The sequence below is a fragment of the Homo sapiens genome, chromosome 9 (assembly GCF_000001405.40).
Source record: "Homo sapiens chromosome 9, GRCh38.p14 Primary Assembly".
NCBI classification, from domain to species: Eukaryota; Metazoa; Chordata; class Mammalia; order Primates; family Hominidae; genus Homo; species Homo sapiens.
Window position 1 is genome coordinate 116,909,938 of NC_000009.12, and position 20,405 is coordinate 116,930,342.

At 42.6% G+C, this 20,405-nt stretch overlaps 1 protein-coding gene across 3 annotated transcripts in view, besides 1 other annotated feature; it reads right to left on the reverse strand.

Moving 5' to 3' along the window:
* Nucleotides 1-20,405, reverse strand: part of ASTN2 (astrotactin 2) — a 991,946-nt gene that overhangs the window by 486,826 nt on the left and 484,715 nt on the right. The gene's annotated exons all lie outside the window — the stretch shown is intronic.
* Nucleotides 18,767-19,709: an enhancer, noted in NCBI's record as "OCT4-NANOG-H3K27ac hESC enhancer chr9:119690983-119691925 (GRCh37/hg19 assembly coordinates)". NCBI's record gives its function as "activates a minimal SCP1, AML or CMV promoter by ChIP-STARR-seq in naive and primed H9 embryonic stem cells {active_cell/tissue: H9 hESC(naive and primed)}" and the evidence as "EXISTENCE:reporter gene assay evidence [ECO:0000049][PMID:30033119]".

A 20,405-nucleotide genomic window follows, 5' to 3' on the forward strand; every position in this document is an offset into this window, starting at 1 on the left:
AGGATGAGAGCCCTGGTGGAAGGGGAATCAAGGCAGAAAGAAGGCAAGGAATTGAAGATGGTGCAAACAGGTAAGTCTCTGGACCAAAATAGGCATGACCCAGTTGAGGGGAGAAATTGCAGGAGCAAAGCCCACCATGGTGAAAGGAATGTCTAGGGCCTGAATACAAGTACAGTCCAAATTTTTTGGGGCCTGAGCTAATGCAATTTGAAGTCCTCTTTAAGAAAAAAGAATACAAAGTTATACATTCAAAAATTAGGCATAGAATTGAATATTTATTTAGTACAAGAAGAGAAATCATGACAAATCGACAGCACTTTAAAGATGCGTGTATCTTTCTTCTGAAACCTCTTTAAGCTAGGATTTCTTAACCTCTGCAACACTGGCATTTCGGGTCGGATAATCCTTTGTAGGGGACTGTCCCACGCGTGATAGGATTTAGCAGCACCCCTGTCATCTACCCACTAGGTGCCAGTAGCACCTCCCAAATCATGACAACCAAAAATGTTTCCAGACATCGCCCACCACTACCTTAAAAACCATTGCTTTAGGTTATTTACTTGACACGCTTACATACAAACGTTCCTGATTACAACCCCCATCTTTAACATTCTGCAATCCTCAGTAACCTTCAGCACTGGCTGGGGCCGGAAGTGGAGGATCCTGAAGCTGAGGCTTCTGGTAAATCCACCTTTGCCTGAGTTGAGGGACTGGACTCAAACAGACACAGGAAGAGTGCCCATCATAAAAGAAAAAAAAACCAGAAAAGAAGGGTTTGGATGCCAGTAGTTAATAGACTTGATTCTTCTCATTACTTATATTTTCTCAGTGCAATAAAAAGCAAGGATATCTGTTAAGAGGGTGACAGTGGGAGGCTGTTGGAGTTTTGCATGGAGAGAAGGGATGAAATAGTCATTCTGCAAAGTAAGAGTGAGCGGACTGGGATTCTTACGAATCCTGCTAGAAGTAGGGTAGAGCGAGACCAGTCTGAGCAGCTCAAAGACGGCTTGAGCACTTTATAAAGCAGCATCTGCCTTATCACCAGAGGTACCTGCCTTATAACAGGTATTCAAGTAGCAATGGAAAGTCAGACCAAATGATCCTACTAGTCCTTCTTCTTCTTTTGTGATTCTGTGATTTTTATAGCAAAGCAACCTGATGGCCTCCAGTATATCAGACAAAATTATTCCATAGCATCTTCATTCGCAAGCGAGTAAGATCCATCCCACGAAATAATGATCCTGATGGCTAAGAGTGCATGCCCAGGATAAGAGCTTTCCATGCTTTATCTTATTTAATCATACTCACAGCATGGGAAGAAAGTTTAAGAAAGATCAAGACGCTTATCCATTGACACACAGCTGGTAAAAATTATATTACCCAGATTGAGGAACATTCTACAAAATGCCTGACCAGTTTTACTTAAAACTCTCAAGGTCATGACAAACAAATGAAGACTGAAAAACTGTCTCTGGCCAGAAAAAAACTAAGAAGACATAATAAGTAAAAGTAATTATAGTATCTTGGATTGGACTCTGGAACAGAAAGAGGATATTAGTGGAAAAACTGGTGAAATTCAAATAAGGTCTGGAATTTAATTAATTGTACAGCACCAATGCTGGTTTCTTAGTTTTTACAACTGTATCATGGTAAAGTAAGTTGTTAACATTAAAAGAAAATAGGTGGTTTATGCGCGGTGGCTCACGCTTGTAATCCCAGCACTTTGGGAGGCCGAGGCAGGCGGATCACGAGGTCAGGAGATCGAGAACATCCTGGCTAACACGGTGAAACCCCGTCCTACTAAAAATACAAAAAAGTTAGCCAGGCGTGGTGGCAGGCGCCTGTTGTCTGGGAGGCTGAGGCAGGAGAATGACGTGAACCCAGTGGGGAGCTTGCAGTGAGCCAAGATTGCGCCACTGCACTCCAGCCTGGGCAGCAGAGGGAAACTCCACCTCAAACAAACAAACAAACAAACAAACAAAACCTCTGTGTATTATTATCTCTGTAATTTTTCTATAAATCTAAAATTAGTTAAAAAAAACTTGCCTAGAAACAACAACAATGACAAGTGTGTGACTAACTCCCTGGCATTCTAACTCCAGGAAGCTTTGCTTCTCTGTGATGGGTCAGGGCACTGGAATCTGCAGGTTATTCTCCTCTATTCAATGTGACTGTGTCTAAGGTCTCTGCTTTCTGCTTTTACACCTACATGTGTCCTCCAGCTGCAAGGCAGCCTGGCACAGTGGAGAGAGATTGCTTTGAATCCATGCAAACATTGGCTGAACCTTAGTTCCCCTATTACTTAACTGTGAGTGTGGAGAAACCACTTTCTGTCTCAAACTTTTGGCTTCTTGCAACTGTACCATGCAACCCATAATATCTCTTTCCTAGGCTTAGAGTCAGATTCCAACTGGCAAGTGAGAAAAGCAAAGCAGTTGGCACCCAGTAGGTGCTCAGAAAACACAAGGTCCGCCTTCTTCATTCTCAGTGCTAAGAAAGTGGGAGCTCACCCAGCCTCTCTCTTTCTGACAAGAACTTCTCATGTTTAATTTATAGGCTGGTTTAGGTAGTTGAATTTTAAATAATTCATAGCCTTGCTGTTAATATTTGTAGTTGTTGAATTCCTTTAATAAAACATTTAGGGATTTCTTCCCCCTGAAGTGTATTTCATCCGGAGAATGATTTGTTTTCTGAAATCTGGGACTCGGCTGCCCTTTCGTTATTTTCTTTTCTGCATCTAATCCTGTTTATTGCTGTGGCAGAGGTAAGAGATGCAAGCTTGGGTTTTGCTTTGCATGGGTATGCAGGCAGGGATGTCAATTCATCTGTGGCTGGGGCTCGTGAGGTGGGTTCACTCTAAGTGGGGGTACCATGGCGGTTAAGAACATCAACTTCATACTGTATTAGGTTTGAACTCAGGCCTGCACTTCCTTCTTCCTTGCTGTGAGATCTCATCCAGGTAATTATTATTATTATTTTGAGATGGAGTCTCACTCTGTCGCCCAGGCTGGAGTGCAGTGGTGTGATCTCGGCTCGGCTCACGGCAACCTCTGCCTCCTGGGTTTAAGTGATTCTCCTGCCTCAGCCTCCCAGGTAGCTGGGACTCCTGGCATGTGCCACGACACATGGCTAATTTTTGCATCTTTAGTAGAAACAGAGTTTCGCCATATTGGGCAGGCTGGTTTTGAACTCCTGACCTCAAGTGATCCACCCACTTCAGCCTCCCAAACTGCTGGAACTACAGGCATGAGCAACCACACCTGGCCTTATCCAGGTAACTTAACATTTCTGAGCCTTTGGTTTCTCATATGCAAAATAAGAATGAGAACACACTCCTTTTACTTTCCCTGACATACCTCTGGATTTCAAAATTCTGCTTATATCCATGGAGGCTGCTTTTTCTAATCTCTCTCAGCCTCAACCCCCACTTAGTGCATTTGATGTGGCAAATAGACTCCCTTATTAATTCTGTTTTCTCATCACCTTGGCTTGAGCCATTTCCACAAGAACTCCAGGCTCTTTCCTGATTCCCATGAAACCCCGCTGGCTTTGTCATTTCTTAGTACCCCTGGGTTTGAGGGAAGGGGAAGGATGATTTGGGCATGCTGCAGCCTTTTCTAAAAGGAGGCTCCAGCTCCCTCTTGAAGATGCAGAAGGATCTGAAATGCAAGGCAAGCTTCACAGGTGCCAACTGTATTGTTCAAAGAATATACTCCCTTTTATAGCACTTATATTTCATTCTCTACTGCCAGAATGGAGACACATGCTGGGTTTCTGCATTCGTAATTGGGGAAGAACAGATGGGAGAGACGCAGTTGGAAGTAATACTGTCATTAAAGTAATCTATACTGCTCCTAACTCTCAGGCATGTGTGAGAAGGTGAGTGGAGCCACATGGACCAAGTTCCTTTCTGTTCAGTCCTCATGGAAATTATGGGGTGGCACATGACTTTGGAAGAATCAGAAAATTCACATTCACTTATGGTATTCCTCTGTGAGTATGTTTCTAGCTCCAGAGCCTCAAAGACAAGAAAAGGAACAGATTGATGATAGTTTCCTTAGGTAAGGAGTGGAGTAGGCATTCTAGATAGAGAGAACAGCATATGCAGAGGTGTGGAGCCTGGAAATAGGAAATGTTTTAAGTAATAGTAAGTAGAGAAGCTGAGCTGGTCTTGTTAGGGAAGCAGCAGAGGATATGGCTAGAAGAACTCGTGCTATGGGGACGAGGTTCTTGAATACCAGGAAAGAAGCTGAAGGAGAGTTGCTGTGGCATGGCAGAGCAAAGGCTGCAATCAGGTTCAGTGCAGGCTGTTACTGACTAGCTATGTGAACATGAGAAAGACACTTCTCTTTTCTGGGCCCCAGTGCTTCATCTGCAAAATGGGAATAGAATAAATGGTCTAAATAGAACTTCAGTGGCTTGAAGGACAACAGCTCTGAACTTCAGGAGAATGCATCTAATTCCTGAGTCTTTTGGTCATGTAAGTCAATTCTAAGCTGAGCATATCCCAGTCCTTGTTGACTGAGTAATAATAATAATAACAGCATTTGTAAAATAATAGAGTGACCCTTTGCTGAGGTCCTACTCTGTGCCAGACACTGTAAAGTGTTTTATTATTATTATTATTATTATTATTTATATATATTTTTTTTTACAATCTCAATCTCAGTCTTCATGAGGTGGTCCTGAGAAGCCCACTGTACAGATCTTCACATCTGAGGCTCAGATAGGGAAGAGGATAGGAATTTATGCCACCCAACCCTGGGTGGCAGGACCAAGAATTATGCCAGATGTCACTGGCAGCTGCCACAGCAGTAATGGCACCTCCTAAGGCAGAGCACTCTGGAGAGGTTTAATGTTCGCTGGCTAATTTAATCCCTCCCACTGCACCTCAAAGTGGATCCTGGGATCCCCATTTTGTAGATGAGCTAACTAAGGCTCTGTGAGAAGCAATCACCAGCTCAAAGTCATAAAACCAGTAAAGGCTGAAGCTGAGCTCTGGCCTCAGGTCTGCCTGGTATTCAACCTCCAGATGCTGCCTTAGGATACTTCAGCCTTCAAATTCACACAGGAGGAGCCCAGGATTAGTGGGCAGCTCCACAGCCCCTTCTCCCAAAATGTGAGATGTTCTTTGCAAACTTTTCTTAGGGATGCCTCATTTTGACAGAACACACTGCCCTCTCTTGCCCTGGGGAGCAGTCCCCATTAAGATATGTCAATGCCATTGAATACAAAGCAAATATCTGGGCTGATATCTTAACATGTCTGTAGCAGTGACTCTAGACTCCCTAAAAGACCAAAAAGTTCTCATGGCCATGGTCATGGACAAACTTCTTGGGAAGAGGCTTTTGCAGACTAGCACATCAGCACAAGGTCTCAAAGTTGACTTTTCACTGTTTACTCCTGAGGAGGTGTGGACATAATAAGAACTATGTATTTGGCCTCTGCCTCAAGTTCCTGACATAGAGCTCCCAAAACCCTTGTAATGTCCTGACTGGTAAGAGCATATTTTGTTTTAATGAGGTGATTCTTGGTGGGATCCTGGATAGCTTCAGGATGGGAGCTGGTCACCAGAAAGGGCAAGCCATGATTAGAAACTTGGAACTTTCAGCCTCAACTCCCCATTATCTGGGAAGAGAAGAGGAGCTGGAGAGTTAATCACGTCAATCTTGGCTACATGATGAAGCCTCCATAAAAATCCTTAAGCTGCAGGGCCTGAAGAGTATCTGAGTTGGTGGATGCATCCATGTGCCTGGAGGGTGGTGCACCCCAATTGCATGGGGACAGAAGCTCCTGCACTTGGGATTTTTCTGGACCTCACGCTATGTACTTCTTCATCTGTCTGTTCATCTGCATCCTTTAGAATAAACCAGTAAAAATCAAAGTAAATATTTCCCTGAGTTTTGTGACCTGTTCTGACAAATTATTGAACCTGGATGGGGAGTGAGGTGGAAAGTGGCTTGCAGTGGGGTTATGGGTACCCCTGAATTTGTAGCCAAGTCAGAGGGAACTGTGAGGATACTTGTGTCAGGTGTCTGAAGTGAGGGCAGTCTTCTGGGACTAAGATTTCAAACCCACATGGAGTTTTTGTCAGAACTGAATTAAATTGCAGGACACTTAGCTGGTGTCCAGAGAGTTAGAAAACTGGTTGGTGTGGGGAAAACAATCCCTACATTTGGTGTTGGAAGTGTGGTGAGTCAAGATGCAGGTTTTCCTCTAGAATGTAGCCTTATTTCCACATGTTGGGGTTTCATGTTGTTGTCTGTCCCTGACCATGAATGGCCCACCATCAGTGAAAAGTGTTGAGCCGTCAAAGCAAGATCACATCTCCTCAGACACCCAAAGTCTTGTGGTAGGAAGGCTGGGAGAGAGAGTGAAAATTCACAGAGTAGCAACTTTGTCCAAATTAGCTCAGAAATGTCTCATCACAGCCATGAAAGATGGTTACTATATGATTGTTTCCATCTTACAGGTGAGGAAAATAAGCTCAGAAAGGTGTAAACAGCTTGCCCAAGATCAGTGTTAAGTGATAGAGGCAAAATTTTAAATTCAAGTCTTTGGCCGTCTGACACCAACACCTGGACCCTTTGGCCTACATTCCATTTCCTCCTATAGTAGAAAGATGTGGGCCAGGTGTGGTGGCTCATGCCTGTAATCCCACCACTTTGGGAGGCCAAGGTGGGCAGATTGCTTGAGCTCAGGAGTTTGAGACCAGCAACAAAGTGAGACCCGTCTCTACAAAAATTACTAAAATTAACTAGGTGTGGTGGTGTGTGCCTGTGGCCCCAGCTACTTGGGAGGCTGAGATTGCTTGAGCCTGGGAGGCAGAGGTCGCAGTGAGCCAAGATTGTGCCACTGAACTCCAGCCTGGGTGACAGGGTGAGACCCAGTCTCAAAAAAACAAAAACAAAAACAAAAACAAAACCAATATGAATGTAGTTGGTCTTCCCTTTCTCACTTCTATCCCCATCTTTCCCATTGATCCAAGATTCTATAAGAGTTTAAGAAATGTTATTGTTCCAGCCATTGGGGCTGGAAAAACCCTCTATGGAGATTTTTTTTTTCTCCCCTCATTATTTTGCTTAAGTGACAGGGAAGTCTTGTGGACTCCTGTGGATTGCAAAGACCCCATTCATATTCATCACATTCTTACTGCACACAGTCTGTGCATGTTGTTCCTTCTGCCCCAAGAGCTTTTTCTCACCTCCTTTCCCTTTACTCCTGCTCATCCTGTAGATGTTAGATCAACTGTGACTTTCTCAAAAAAGCTGTCCAACCCTCTCCATAGGTCCCTTGATCCCAGTGAACTCTCATAACATTGCACTACTTTCCTCCCTGGCACATAGCTCAGTTTGCAAGTATTAATAATTGGTGAGTTTTTGAGTTAATGTCAGCCCCACCCCCCAACTAGACCATAAGCTCTAAGAGGGCAGGGTCCATGTCTACTTGGATCATGATTGAGCCCCCCGTTCCATGCACAGGGCTTAGATTACTATAGATGACCCATCAATGTTTACTGAGTGAATAAACAAATGCGTTAAAGCATAGGACGTAAAAACTTTTGGGTCTGGAGACAATAGAATTTCTGAACTTGTGTCTTAAAGAGGAATAGCTTTTTCCTCATAACTTGTTAGAAATGCAGAATCCCAGGCCTCATCCCAAACCCTCTACATAAGAATCTGCAACTTGCCATGTTCTGGTCCCCAGAGGATTCCTATGTACATTAATGACTTATAAATACTGCAGAGGAGAAAAAGTTGGAATGGAAAGGTGAAGTAGCCTGTGTTAATTAATTGATCATGTAATTGGTTAATTATAAAAGTTTGTAAAATTATTCTGAGCACCTTCTATGGATCTGGTACTGTGTTAGGCCCTGGGACTCTGGCATGAACATGGGAGATATGGTACTAGCCTCAAGATAGTGCCTGATATGGTTTGGCTGTGTCACCACCTAAATCTGAACTTGAATTGTATCTCCTAGAATTCCTATGTGTTGTGGGAGGGACCCAGGGGGAGATAATTGAATCATGGGGGCTGGTCTTTCCCATGCTATTCTCATGATAGTGAATAAGTCTCACGAGATCTGATGGGTTTATCAGGGGTTTCCGCTTTTGCTTCTTCCTCATTTTCTCTTGCCGCCACCATGTAAGAAGAGCCTTTCACCTCCCATCATGATTCTGATGCCTCCCCAGCCATGTGGAACTGTAAGTCCAATTAAACCTCTTTTTCTTCCCAGCCTTGTGTATGTCTTTATCAGTAGCATATATATGGACTGATACAGTACCCCATACCTGTGTGGATGGGCAAAGCACCCAGAGCTAGCAGAGTAGAGGGAGAGGCTGCTCATTGAGCAGGAAACAGGGAGGGCTTTCTGCAGGTGACTAGCAGTGGAGGGCACAGGGGGCAGCCTCATAGACAATGAAATTTCCTGTCCTGTGTCACAGTCTTGAGGCTGGGGGATGGAGTCAGCAGGTTGTTGTAATAATCCAGACTAGAAATGTAAACAGGTCACCATTCTTTCTCTCCCAGCTCTTCCCTGAATTCTCATGCCATTCTGAAAAACCTGCCTAAAACCCTTTATGAATCAGATAAGGGCCAGATTCCATAGGCTTCTTTCAAACTTTTTTTTCATATTTTTTCATTTACATTCTGCCTCTAAATGTCAATCTTCTACCTTCTTTTCTCTCTCTGTGTTTCCCTCCTTTCCACTGTTTGCCTTGCTAGTGTCCCTCTGGCATCTCCATTACACGGACTATTATGCAGCTATCAGAAATGATGTTTACAAAGACTGTGTAATAAACATGGAACATGCTTAGGTTTAATAGGAAGCTGGTGCAGAGTTGTATAGACATATGATTACAGTCTTATAAACATAAGTCTATATAGTTAACAAAATTTTAAAAAGCAAACTCCAGAGTGAGTCAAACAATATTTATATGTGCCTGGGGTTTAAAAATATATATATTTGAGATGTTTATTTTCTATCTTTTTATGACTAGGGATTTCTTTTTACATAATAAATAAAAACCACAAATTTAAAATTGTTGCTATTTATTCACTGTATCATTTTGGGCTTTTTTTTTTAAACTTCCCTGAGCCTCAGTTTTCTCATCTCTAAAAGGGAGCTGACAGTTGGGCTTCCCACAGAGGATGTTTTGCGATTGTACTCACCAAGTGTGCTATGGCACAGAGCCTGGCATGAGAGTAAAACCTAACCCCATAGCAGTAATTATCATGTGAGGATCAGTTCCCAGCTTACCTGATTGGTATAGATTGAATCAAAAACAAGAAGTTTGATGTGGTAGGGATGGAGGTGGAGGGCAAGGAGTTATCCATTTGGAAGTCCTGATTTTGTGGCTATGTTTGCCCCTAATTGTTGTGCGACCTTGGCAATTCTTCCCATCTCTGGGCTTTTGTCTCTCCAAATGTAGAAGAGAAATGGAACCTCAAAGATCAACATAATTTCCTCTTACATGTCTAAAAGATAATACCTCAATTTCCTTGGGAACACACTGTGAACGTTTTAACAATCCTAAATATTCTACTGGACAAATACTGCAGCCTCTTTCTAATGTCCCTTAACTCCCTGAGTTTCATGGACCTATGAATTTTTCATCCTTGCTTCTTAAAAACAACAAGGTCCCTCCTCCTCTGATGACCACAGAACAATTCTTGGTTGTGTCAATTGTTTACAAAAACATCATTTTTTTTTTTTTTTTTTTTTTTAGCTGAGAGCAGTAGCTCACACCTGTAATCAGCCCTTTAGGAGGCTGAGGCAGGTGGATTGCTTGATCCCAGGAGTTTGAGACTAGCCTGGGCTACATGGCAAAACCCCATCTCCACTAAAAATACAAAAATTAGCCAAGCTTGATGGTGGTCTATAGTCCCATCCTCTTTGGAGGCTGCAGTGGGAGGATTGCTTGAGCCCAGGAGGTGAAGGCTGCAGTGAGCTGAGATCACACCACTGCACTCCAGCCTGGGTGACAGAGCGAGAATCTGTCTCAAAAAAAAAAAAAAAAGTAATTTTTTAATATTAGGAATTAGAGTGTGGTGGTCATCAGTTCATGGCTGACAGAAACAGCACTTCCTGCTCTTTGCAATTTAGTTCTTATAATGGACAAGTCTTGTTTCAAATGCTGCCTCCTTGGTATTCTGTGTACAATGGAAATGGGGGTTGGATTAGATGCTCTCTAAAGATGGTCTGAGCTCTAAAAGTTTTCTTCCTGGACAGCAGCAGTTTCCCTGGATAAAGGACCTTTTTCCTGAGCATGTGGCTCTGTCTCAGAAGCAGCCCCTCTCCCTGGTTCCCCAGTAGAGCTTCCAGGCTCAGATGAGTAGGGCCAGCTGGCTTTGCTCTACATAGAGGCCCTAAATAATTTTAGTGGCTTAAAAGCAGAAGAATGGTTCTCCAGCTCCTGTAAGAGGCAGAATTAACAGAGAATAACTTAAAGGGAACAGCATGAAAGAGGCCAATGGAAAGATAGAAATAAAATGAAGAATGGGGGCAACCAACTTTCAGGGTCTCTCAAAAAAAATCCTGGGTCAGGATCCCACCTGTCTACTGCAAGCTCCCTTCTTCCTGCTCACAGTGCCTTCTTGCCTTAATAGTACAAAGAAAAATGCTTTACCATGATTTAGGTACTATGCTAAGCTCTTGACCATACATGCATCATTTAACCCTCAGTTACAATGTTGGCTCCATGAGGGCAGGGGGATTTTGTCTGATTTGTTTACAGTTGCATCCCATTTTCTAGAACAATACCAGGACCCCGGTATGTGTTCACTGAGTATTTGGTGAAATGATGAATGATGACTTGCTGAGGTCACTACGATTACTAACTCCATTTTACAGATGAATACACTGAAGCTCCTAGAGGTTAAGTTACCTGCTCAAGACAACGTAGCTAGTAGGAGCAAAGCCAGGATTCAAGTCTAGCTGATCTTAAAGCCTGCTTTATTTTAGACTATGTCCTCACAGGAAATATCCATCTGTTTTAGTCTATTCTCACACTGTTACAATGAAATACCTGAGACTGAGTAATGTATAAAGAAAAGAGGTTGAACTAGCTCACCGTTCTACAGGCTTTATAGGAAGTATGGCCACATCTGCTTCTGGGGAGGCCTCAGGGAGTTTCTACTCATGGTGGAAGCAAAGTGGGAGCATACATCTGACATGGTAGGAGCAGGACCATGAGAGAGATGGGGGAGGTACCACACACTTTTAGACAACAAGATCTCACAAGAATTCACTATCATGATGACAGTATCAAGGGGGATGCTCTTAAACCATGAGAAACAGCCACCATGATCCAATCACCTTCCACCAGACCTGCATGAGCCTGTTCTCACACTGCTATAAAGAACTACCTGGCTGGGCGTGGTGGCTCACGCCTGTAATTCCAGCACTTTGGGAGGCTGAGGCGGGCGGATCACATGGTCAGGAGATTGAGACAATACTGACTAACACGGTGAAACTCTGTCTGTACTAAAAATACAAAAAATTAGCCAGGTGTGGTGGAGGTCGCCTGTAGTCCCAGCTGCTCCGGAGGCTGAGGCAGGAGAATGGTGTGAACCTGGGAAGCGGAGCTTGCAGTGAGCCGAGATTGGACCACTGTACTCCAGCCTGGGCGACCGAGCGAGACTCCGTCTAAAAAAAAAAAAAAAAAAAAGAACTACCCAAGACTGGGTAATTTATAAACAAAGGAGGTTTAATTGACTTACAGTTCTGCATGGCTGGAGAGGCCTCAGGAAACTTACAATCGTGTTGGAAGGGGAAGCAGGCACCTTCTTCACAAGGTGTCAGAAAAGACACAGTGAGAAAGGAGGGAGGAACTGGCTAAACACTTATCTGATCTTGTGAGAACTCACTCACCATTATGAGAACAGTATGGGGGAAACCACCCCCATTATCCAATAACCTTCCACTGGGTCCCTCTCTTGACACATGGGGATTATGGGAATTAAAATTCAAGATGAGATTTGGGTGGGGACACAGCCAAACCATATCAGGGCCCCACATCCAGCTCTGGATATTACAACTGAACATGGGATTTGGGTGGCAATACAAATCCAAACCATATCACCATCTCCTACTTCTCTATTCACATCTCCTTCCTCTCTCACAGAAGTTCCTCTGCCCTAGAACCTCTTCCTTCCGGAAGTCTTTTCTTACTACTTCCTTTGAAGGTGGGACTCCTCTTGGAATGACATAACTACAACCCTCCTATGCATTACTAAGTCAAAAGCTATCTTCCCCAGAAAGGGCACTTGTTATTTTCCCTAAGCTATGCCTGAATACTTTATACCTTGAATTATTATTGTTCATAAACATGTGTACCCATAACAAATTATAAGCTTTTCAAGGAAGGCCCTGTGTTTGGTTATGATTAATTTTATATATTGCTACAATGCCAGATTCATAATGAGTTTTTAATCATTTTTTTCAATAATGACTCATTTAAGCCTTGGAATCATAGACTCAGGGGGCAATTTAGGTGTGCCTATCAAAATGTCAAATATTTTTACACTTTAACATATAATTCCATTTGAAAATACTTAAAAATACTAAAACCTAGTCACAAAAATGCATGCACAAGTCTGTGTATTGTTGCATTGTTTGTAATAGTAAAAACATGTGATAATGTAAAAGTCCATTACTGGCTGGTGGTGAAATGAATCATGATACATCTGTGTTATGGAATATTAATGAGCTGTGAAAAAGAATATTGTAGATCTGGATGAATTGATATGGAGACATCTTTAAAACTTCGTATTAGTAGAAAAAGCAAGTTTCACAAAAACATTCAGTGTGATCCCAATCAGATTAAAATTTACCTATGTAAATTCATGTCAACAGTTCTGGGGATAAGCATATCAAACTGCTAAGAAATATGTACTTTGGGGTGGGCTGGAAGTTTGGAGACTGAAAGAGATTTCTGCCTTTTTATTCTGAAAATACTTCTTAAAAAATGGTGGCTTAAAACAATAGACTCACAGGACATGAAGATTGGAAGGGGCCTTATAGGGCAGAGGTGGTGCAGAACCTTCCACAGGCAGTATTAGGTTCTTTGCATATATTTCTTACCTATATCTCATAACAAACCCCAACAGGTAAGGTTCAACAATGCCACTTTACAAACAAGGACATTAAGGTTCAGACTCAAACAAAGCCCGCCTAAATCTCAACCTTGTCCCCTTCTTTCCAAGGTTATAACAGTACAATTCTAACCAAAATTTTATTTTTTAGATAGGACTTTGAGACCTGTTCAGGCTCAGCCAGAAGTCTGGAAGTCCTTCCTGTGCTGTCTCTTCTAATCACTTCTAACATCTGGAGGTTATCACCACAGCCAGCCAATTTGTTCACTGAAGGACAGAAGCTTTGCATTCTGTTTCTTCGCCCCCAGGTTTGGGTTGATCATGGTACCAGATGCTCCTTAACCCTACAATGAGATAGTCACTCTTGGAGGGGCCAAGTCAGCTATTAGACGGCTTCTCTTGATGCCCTTGTCTTTACAGTTGTCCTGGAAAAACCAGACTTCTGCCTTAGGCAGAGTGGTTCCATTTGAAGTTATGAGAAAAGGTGAGTGAGGAGTAGATAGCTATACAAAACTATTTTGTGATATGACTTGGTGTTCTTTGATGAGGCTTGGCAGAGACGTACACCAACTTTCCTCAGCTTTTACCCCTGGAGATGGAGATTTCTTTAGGGACTCAGATGAGTGGTTGTTCTGCATTAGGGCTGGGAAAATCTCAAAAAGAGCTGGAGGGTGGAAATGAAGAATTCAACTTGGAATCCTTAAATCTCAGACTTGGAAGAAAGCTCAGCAGAGGAGATTTAATCTAACTTCTGACCCATGCAAGGGTTCTCTCTGGAGTGTCCACATAGAGCACACCTTGCTCCAGTGCCAGGGAACTCACCACTTCAGTGTTGAACAGGTCTTACTAAGAGAAGGCACTTGCTGATGGTGCCTAGATCTGTCTCTCCAGAAGCCATCTCCCATGTGCTGTGGAGCAGGGCCCTGAGGTGAAGGCACTGGAAGCTTCTCCTCTTGTTACTGGAAAGGGGTCCCAATCCAGAACCCAATAGAGGGTTCTTGGATCTTGCACAAGGAAGAATTTAAGGTGAATCCGTAAAGCAAAGTGAAAGCACGTTTATTAGGAAAGTAAAGGAATAAAAAATGGCTACTCCAGGCTAGGCACAGTGGCTCAAGCCTATAATCCCAGCACTTTGGGAGGCTGAGGCAGGAGGATCACCTGGGGTCAGGAGTTCGGAACCAGCCTGGCCAACATGGTGAAATCCTATCTCTACTAAAAATATAAAAAAAAAAAAAAAAAAAAAAAAACTTAGCTGAGTGTGGTGGCACGATCCTGTAATCCCAGCTACTCAGGTGGCTGAGGCAGGAGACTTGCTTGAACCCAGGAGGCAGAGGTTACAGTGAGTAGAGATTGCACCACTGAACTCCAGCCTGGGTGACAGAGCAAGACTTCATCTCAAAAAAAAAAAAAAAAAAAAAAGAATGGCTACTCCATTGGCAGCGGTGGCATGGGCTGCTCAGCTTCTTATACTTATTGTTACTTCTTTATTAATTATATGCTAAACAAAGGGTAGGTTATTCATGAATTTTCCGGGAAAGGGGCAGGCAATTCCTGGAACTGAGGGTTCATCCCCTTTTTAGACCATATAAGGTAACTTTCTGACGTTGCCATGGCATTTGTAAACAGTCATGGTGCTGGTGGGAGTGCCTCTTAGGATGCTAATTCATTATAATTAGCATATAATGAGCAGTGAGGATGACCAGAGGTCACTTTTGTGGCCATCTTGGTTTTGGTGGGATTTGGATAGCTTCTTTACTGCAACCTGTTTTATTAGCAAGGTCTTTATGACCTGGATCTTGTGCTGACCTCCTATCTCATCCTGTGACTAAGAACGCCTTAACCTTCTGGGAGTGCAGCCCAATAGGTCTCAGCCTCATTTTGCCCAGCCCCGACTCAAGATGAAGTCACTGTGGTTCAAATCTTCTAACACTCTGACTAGTATACGACTTCCAAACAAGTCACTCTTGCCACTTAGGAGATCTGAGCTGAGAACCCTCAGAATCAAATCCCTTATTTTACAGTTGGGAAAAATGAGGTCCAGAGAGCCAATATTTTATTAATATCTAAGTCTCATATACCCATATTTGCTTTCTTAATATAAAAGAATCATTTCCTGTCTTACAGTTAACAAAATATCAGATATTTTAGTACACTCTGCTCAGAGCTACAGCCCCTGCTTAGTCATCAGCACTACCACCACTACCATCATCATATTAATAATTATTCAGTGTCTCCTATGTGCTAGGCATTCTATTAAGTGTTTTACATTGAATGATACCTCTTGAGAACCTTATGAGGAGGAGTGAGGAGTCTCCCAGTTAGAGAAGGAATGCCCACCTATCATGATAGTCATTTTTCAAGTAGCTGTGTAATGGGGCAGAAGATGAGCTTCTTCCTGCTAGATTTCATCACCTGGGGCTTGTAGTCTCAGAACAACAGACAAGTCAGGCTCCTTTTCCAGTGCCTGGAAGGACATGCAGATGTATGTGTGTACACACATACTCACATGTACTCATACAGGCTCTCTGCTACACAGATACGATAAAGGAAGCTTGGGTCTGTCTCTGGGAACCACTCTCTTATTAGGCATTACCTGCAGTTCCTGAGTACTTCTTCCAGTTTCTCAGACAAATCTAAATAGAAACCCTGCTACTCCTATTTTTCCATGTGTGGGGGGTGGGGGGATGAACATATTGTAGGCTGTGATTAATAATTTAAAAAATTATTAAGAAAGATCAAGCTTCCTGATGTTCAGCTTAGACCATATGTACCTCACCTTCCCTGAACTATCCCTGTCCTGCCCCCATATGCAAGGAGATACACAACACAACACACACACACACACACACACACACACATATATACACATGCACACATGCACATAGGGATGCTCATACATTCAAAAACATCCAGTGTTCCTTCACTGCCTGTAAGGTAAAGCTGAAACACTGTAGCCTGAACATATGACCCTTTATGATTTAAATTCCATCCTTTCTTCTGAAACTTTCTTCCTCCATTCCTTATCATGCTCCATCCAAACTGGTCTACTGTGCATGCCATCCCATCCTGGCCTCCCAGAAAGCTCTTTCTCAGGTGGTGCCCCTGTTTGTAATGTTGTTCCCTGTATGATCACCAAGACCAAGTTCAAATACTACAGTGTCTAAGAAACCATCAATGATGTCTTCAAGCTTCCTGCTGTAACCTCTTTCTCATCAGAGCTCTTAAAATCATTTTCAAAACTGCTTCAAAAACATATTGATTTCAATAATTTATGCAGTTCCCTTAATCGTTGCCACCCCCTGCCACTGCAAGTTAGAGCTTTCTTTTTGGTGCATAGATCTCTTTGGTGCTATATCTTCTATAGCCTTGCCAGCTTCATCTGCTCTTGTAGAAACTTCTCTGCTCTTTCCTCCTTCTTTTTGGTCCCTGCCTTCATGTTATCGAGTTCCATTTCAACCTCTTTACCTTGATAAAACACATGTACATAATTTTGGCATTGCTATTGTTTTTCACTGGAGTTACAAGAGATGTTTGACCAATGCTCATAATAATACATCTAGCCATGCTGATAATAATTTAAATATGGCATTTAATTACTAAGCTCCAGGCACTATCTTATGGACCTTATATACTTTGCTTCATTTAAGTCTTTTCCAGGATCGTGAGTGGGTAACTCTTTTAAAATTCCTATTTTACAGATGAGAAAACTGATAACTGAATAAGTTAACTCAAGGTCATCCACAGAGTGACACGGCTGAGATTTGAACTCATGTGTAGCTGACTCCAAAACCCAAGTTCTTAATCACTTTATCAGAAAATTACCAAAAGGCATCTAATTAGTTGCATGCAATTAAATATATATGAGGGAGAGGGCCATCAGGAGATTATTTAGAAATAGAAACAAAATAAGATGTATGAAAACAAAGATAAAAGCAAGAACAGTTGAACAGAGTCTGAGAACAATGAATCGTGGTTTACAAGTTTTAGAAAAACTAATTAGCTGGAATATAGCAAAGAGGTCAGCTCTGAGACATCTATCCTTGAGAAGGCTAAGGAGGAGTACCAAAGAAACCCATTTTCATTGCAGATTGCAGAAAACCTTGAGCGTTTCACTGAGGAATGTATGTGGCAGGGTATCTCTGTTGCCTTCCATCCATACCTCTGCTTTTATTGGGGTGGTCTCCACCACCTCCCTCATCAGAACCTCTCCCTAGGGTGCATGGCTTCTGATCTCCCAAAAGACTGGTTTCTACTGTTAAAGGAGATCGTGCATGTGGAGTCCTTAACAGGTGAGACAGTCACATGGCCATCCTGAAATAAATGTAGAGCCATGATAAGCCTTATAATCACGGGGTGTCTTGTTTTCATATATTTATCATTACTAACAGGAAGCTGGTGGGTTTTGCTTTCCTGGCTTTTGCTGGTGTTGAGATTCCTTTTTTAACCAGCTCTGGTAACTCCCTTATGTAACAACACATGCATAAGTATTCACACAATTCACTGCTTTGGATTGATCAGCTCTATCTATGAGAATTGTCTTGGCCACAGTGAATGGATTATAGTTACAATAGAAGTCTGTACTAGGTGGTCCTTCTTTTGACACTTGCGGACTCCCAAGGAATGGTGGCTGGACTCTATTAGGCTCCAAACTCTCATGTGCCTGAGCGCCAGCTCCCTCTCTAAACATAAGCATCTCGGGGCTGGAGGTGGGGGGAAATTTTCTGATGCATCTTTCTTTGCCATGTAATTCCTACCCCAGGATCATGCTCACATAAGTGTTCTTGGAATATGTGAGTAAGTGACTGAAAACTCCATTGTACTGCCCTGTTGCTGCATAAAACTGGTTGTCAATGCCGACAGCTCCCTGTGGTGTTTTTCTTCCCTTTGGGAAATCACACCAATTTAGCTTTGGCTACTGTTCCCTCCGTATACCCTTTCATGTGTATGCAACAACCCACAGTATCTCCTCCTTGCTTTCAACTTGCTAGAGACCAGCCTTTCTCATGACACTCCACAGCTTGACTCAGCTTCCCTCCCTGTTGCTATCCCTGATCTCCCAACTGCCTCCCTCTTCCAAATTATGTGAAAACAACGACCATTTACTCAATACCTACTACCTGGCAGATGCCGTATGTGAAAAACCTTTCTGGGTCCTCATAACAGCCCCCAGGGTAGGTCTACCAGTGTCTATTTTACACATGAAAAAACTGAGGCACAGAGAAGGGACTTTGGAAGCCTCAGAGAAACAGCTGAAATGCCAGTCAGCTGTGATTGACACCAAAGTCCAGCAATTTAACCATTACAGTATAATATATCTTTAAATAGAAATTCCAATTACATTTTTCAGATATTCTAAAAAAATTCCACATATAGATTTGAAGACTAATGGGCAGTCATACACCCCTGAGCTCATGTTTACTCAGAAATCTTTGTCGTAACAGCTGTTCCTCCCCTAACCTTGTATGTACTTCCAGTTTCTGCAGCAGATACTCAAGCCTACCACGTGCAAGGGAGATTGCTGGGCACTGCTTTGGAGCAAAGTGTAATATGTTATAAATCATACACTCCATGAGTTTACAAAAGAACAGAGAAATGAAGGGGAAGAAAGAAATAAAAGAAAACTGTATTAAAAGAGTTGATTATTAGAAAATGCTTAGAAAGGCAAAGACTTGTGGAGGTACAAAGGAATTTGTCAGGTACAGGGTAAAAAAAAAAAAGGATGTTTACCTAGCTGACCTGTAAGTTAAACACTGTATTAAGGGCGTTCATAGCAACAGTGGCCATTTTAAAGCATCTATTATGTACTATGAGTTTTTTATGCATTTTTCATCCCTTCACAAGAAGTGAACAAAATAGGAATTCTGATCTCTATTTTACAAAGGAAGACACTGGAAGCACAGAGAGGTGAAAAAAATCACTTAAGTGTACACAGCCATTAAATGGCAGAATCAAAATAAGAATCCAGGCCTGTCGTGGCCTGCATTTCTGGCATTCCTCACATACGCCTCCCAGTGGGATCCAGCATATTATCCCCATTTACAGGTAAAGAGGAAGTGGCAGAATGTCAGTGTTGGAAAGGACTTGGGAACTAGAATGCTTGTTTAGGGGAAACAAGGAAGGCTGTGTGCAGATGTGCTGGACCTGGAAGGACTAATAGGACTTAGTACACAGACACTGTAAAAGCATTCTTGAGAGAAAGGTCTTCATGAGAAGAGGCGGAAGTGTGGCAGATGCAGGACGAAAAGAAGATGCCACTGACTAGTGTAGCAGCACTTTTAGGCTGCTGGAAGCTGACATGGCTGGAATCCTAAGTCAGGCCTAGCTACAATGCATTCCTTTGGTATAGATTATTTGCTTTGAATCAAGGGTATTGATGCTGCAGAGTCAATTCTGCAGGAAGTGAACCCTAAGGAGAGGCACTGAGACTTTTTTTGGGAGATCCTAAAAAAGCCAGTTCACCTGCTCCAACCACGAGGCACATTTGCTCCCAAACATTGACTCTGTGCTGCATCTTGGAATATTTTGCACGTATCTCTCCCTAACCTGGAGAAATACAGTCCATGGTGCCTTTGGGAAACAAAATAGCACTTCTTCCCCACTATCTCATCTAAACAACCCTTTGCTGACTAATTGAATTACTCTGGCCCACAAACTGATAGACAGCTGCTAAAAATGGTTATTGCATTATTAATTCGCTCCAGCAATTTCACATTAAACCTATACTGTTAATAATTTTTCCCCTTCTATTTCTTCCCTCTTAATTAGACTATTTAAAACTTTGAAGGAATAGTCTTTCCATGCTAAATGGAGGCATCGGGCAAATTACATTTTTGATTGAATACTTCTCTGATAGGCCAGCAAATGAGACTGTTGAGTTGTTAATTATTGTCAGAGTTCCACACGACACCTGCTAATGAGGCAGTCAATCTCAGCTGTCAGTCCCCTGATACTAATGGAGGCTGATGGGATGTACTGGGAAGGATGCTTGCTGGAGGTCCAGGGTGTCCAGTTCCCTGGCTGTAAATGCAAGGCCAGTGACTTCCCAATTGCTAAAGCAAATGGGAAACTGTGATGAGTGGGGAAGGGGATGGGCAGTGGAACAGAGGTGAGGACAGCCAGGTGAGGAGAGCACCAGGTGGGCACCATTGGGATGGACCACTTTGTTGTTGTTCAGTAAATACTGCTGGTATTTTTAATCATTGCTGATAGGGCTGTGTGTCTGCAGTTTCTTGGAAGGTGATGGATATAAGGAGGTGCCTATTGAGCAGTCAGAAGACTTCTTAAGACCCCTGACCTGGACTCTGAATGAC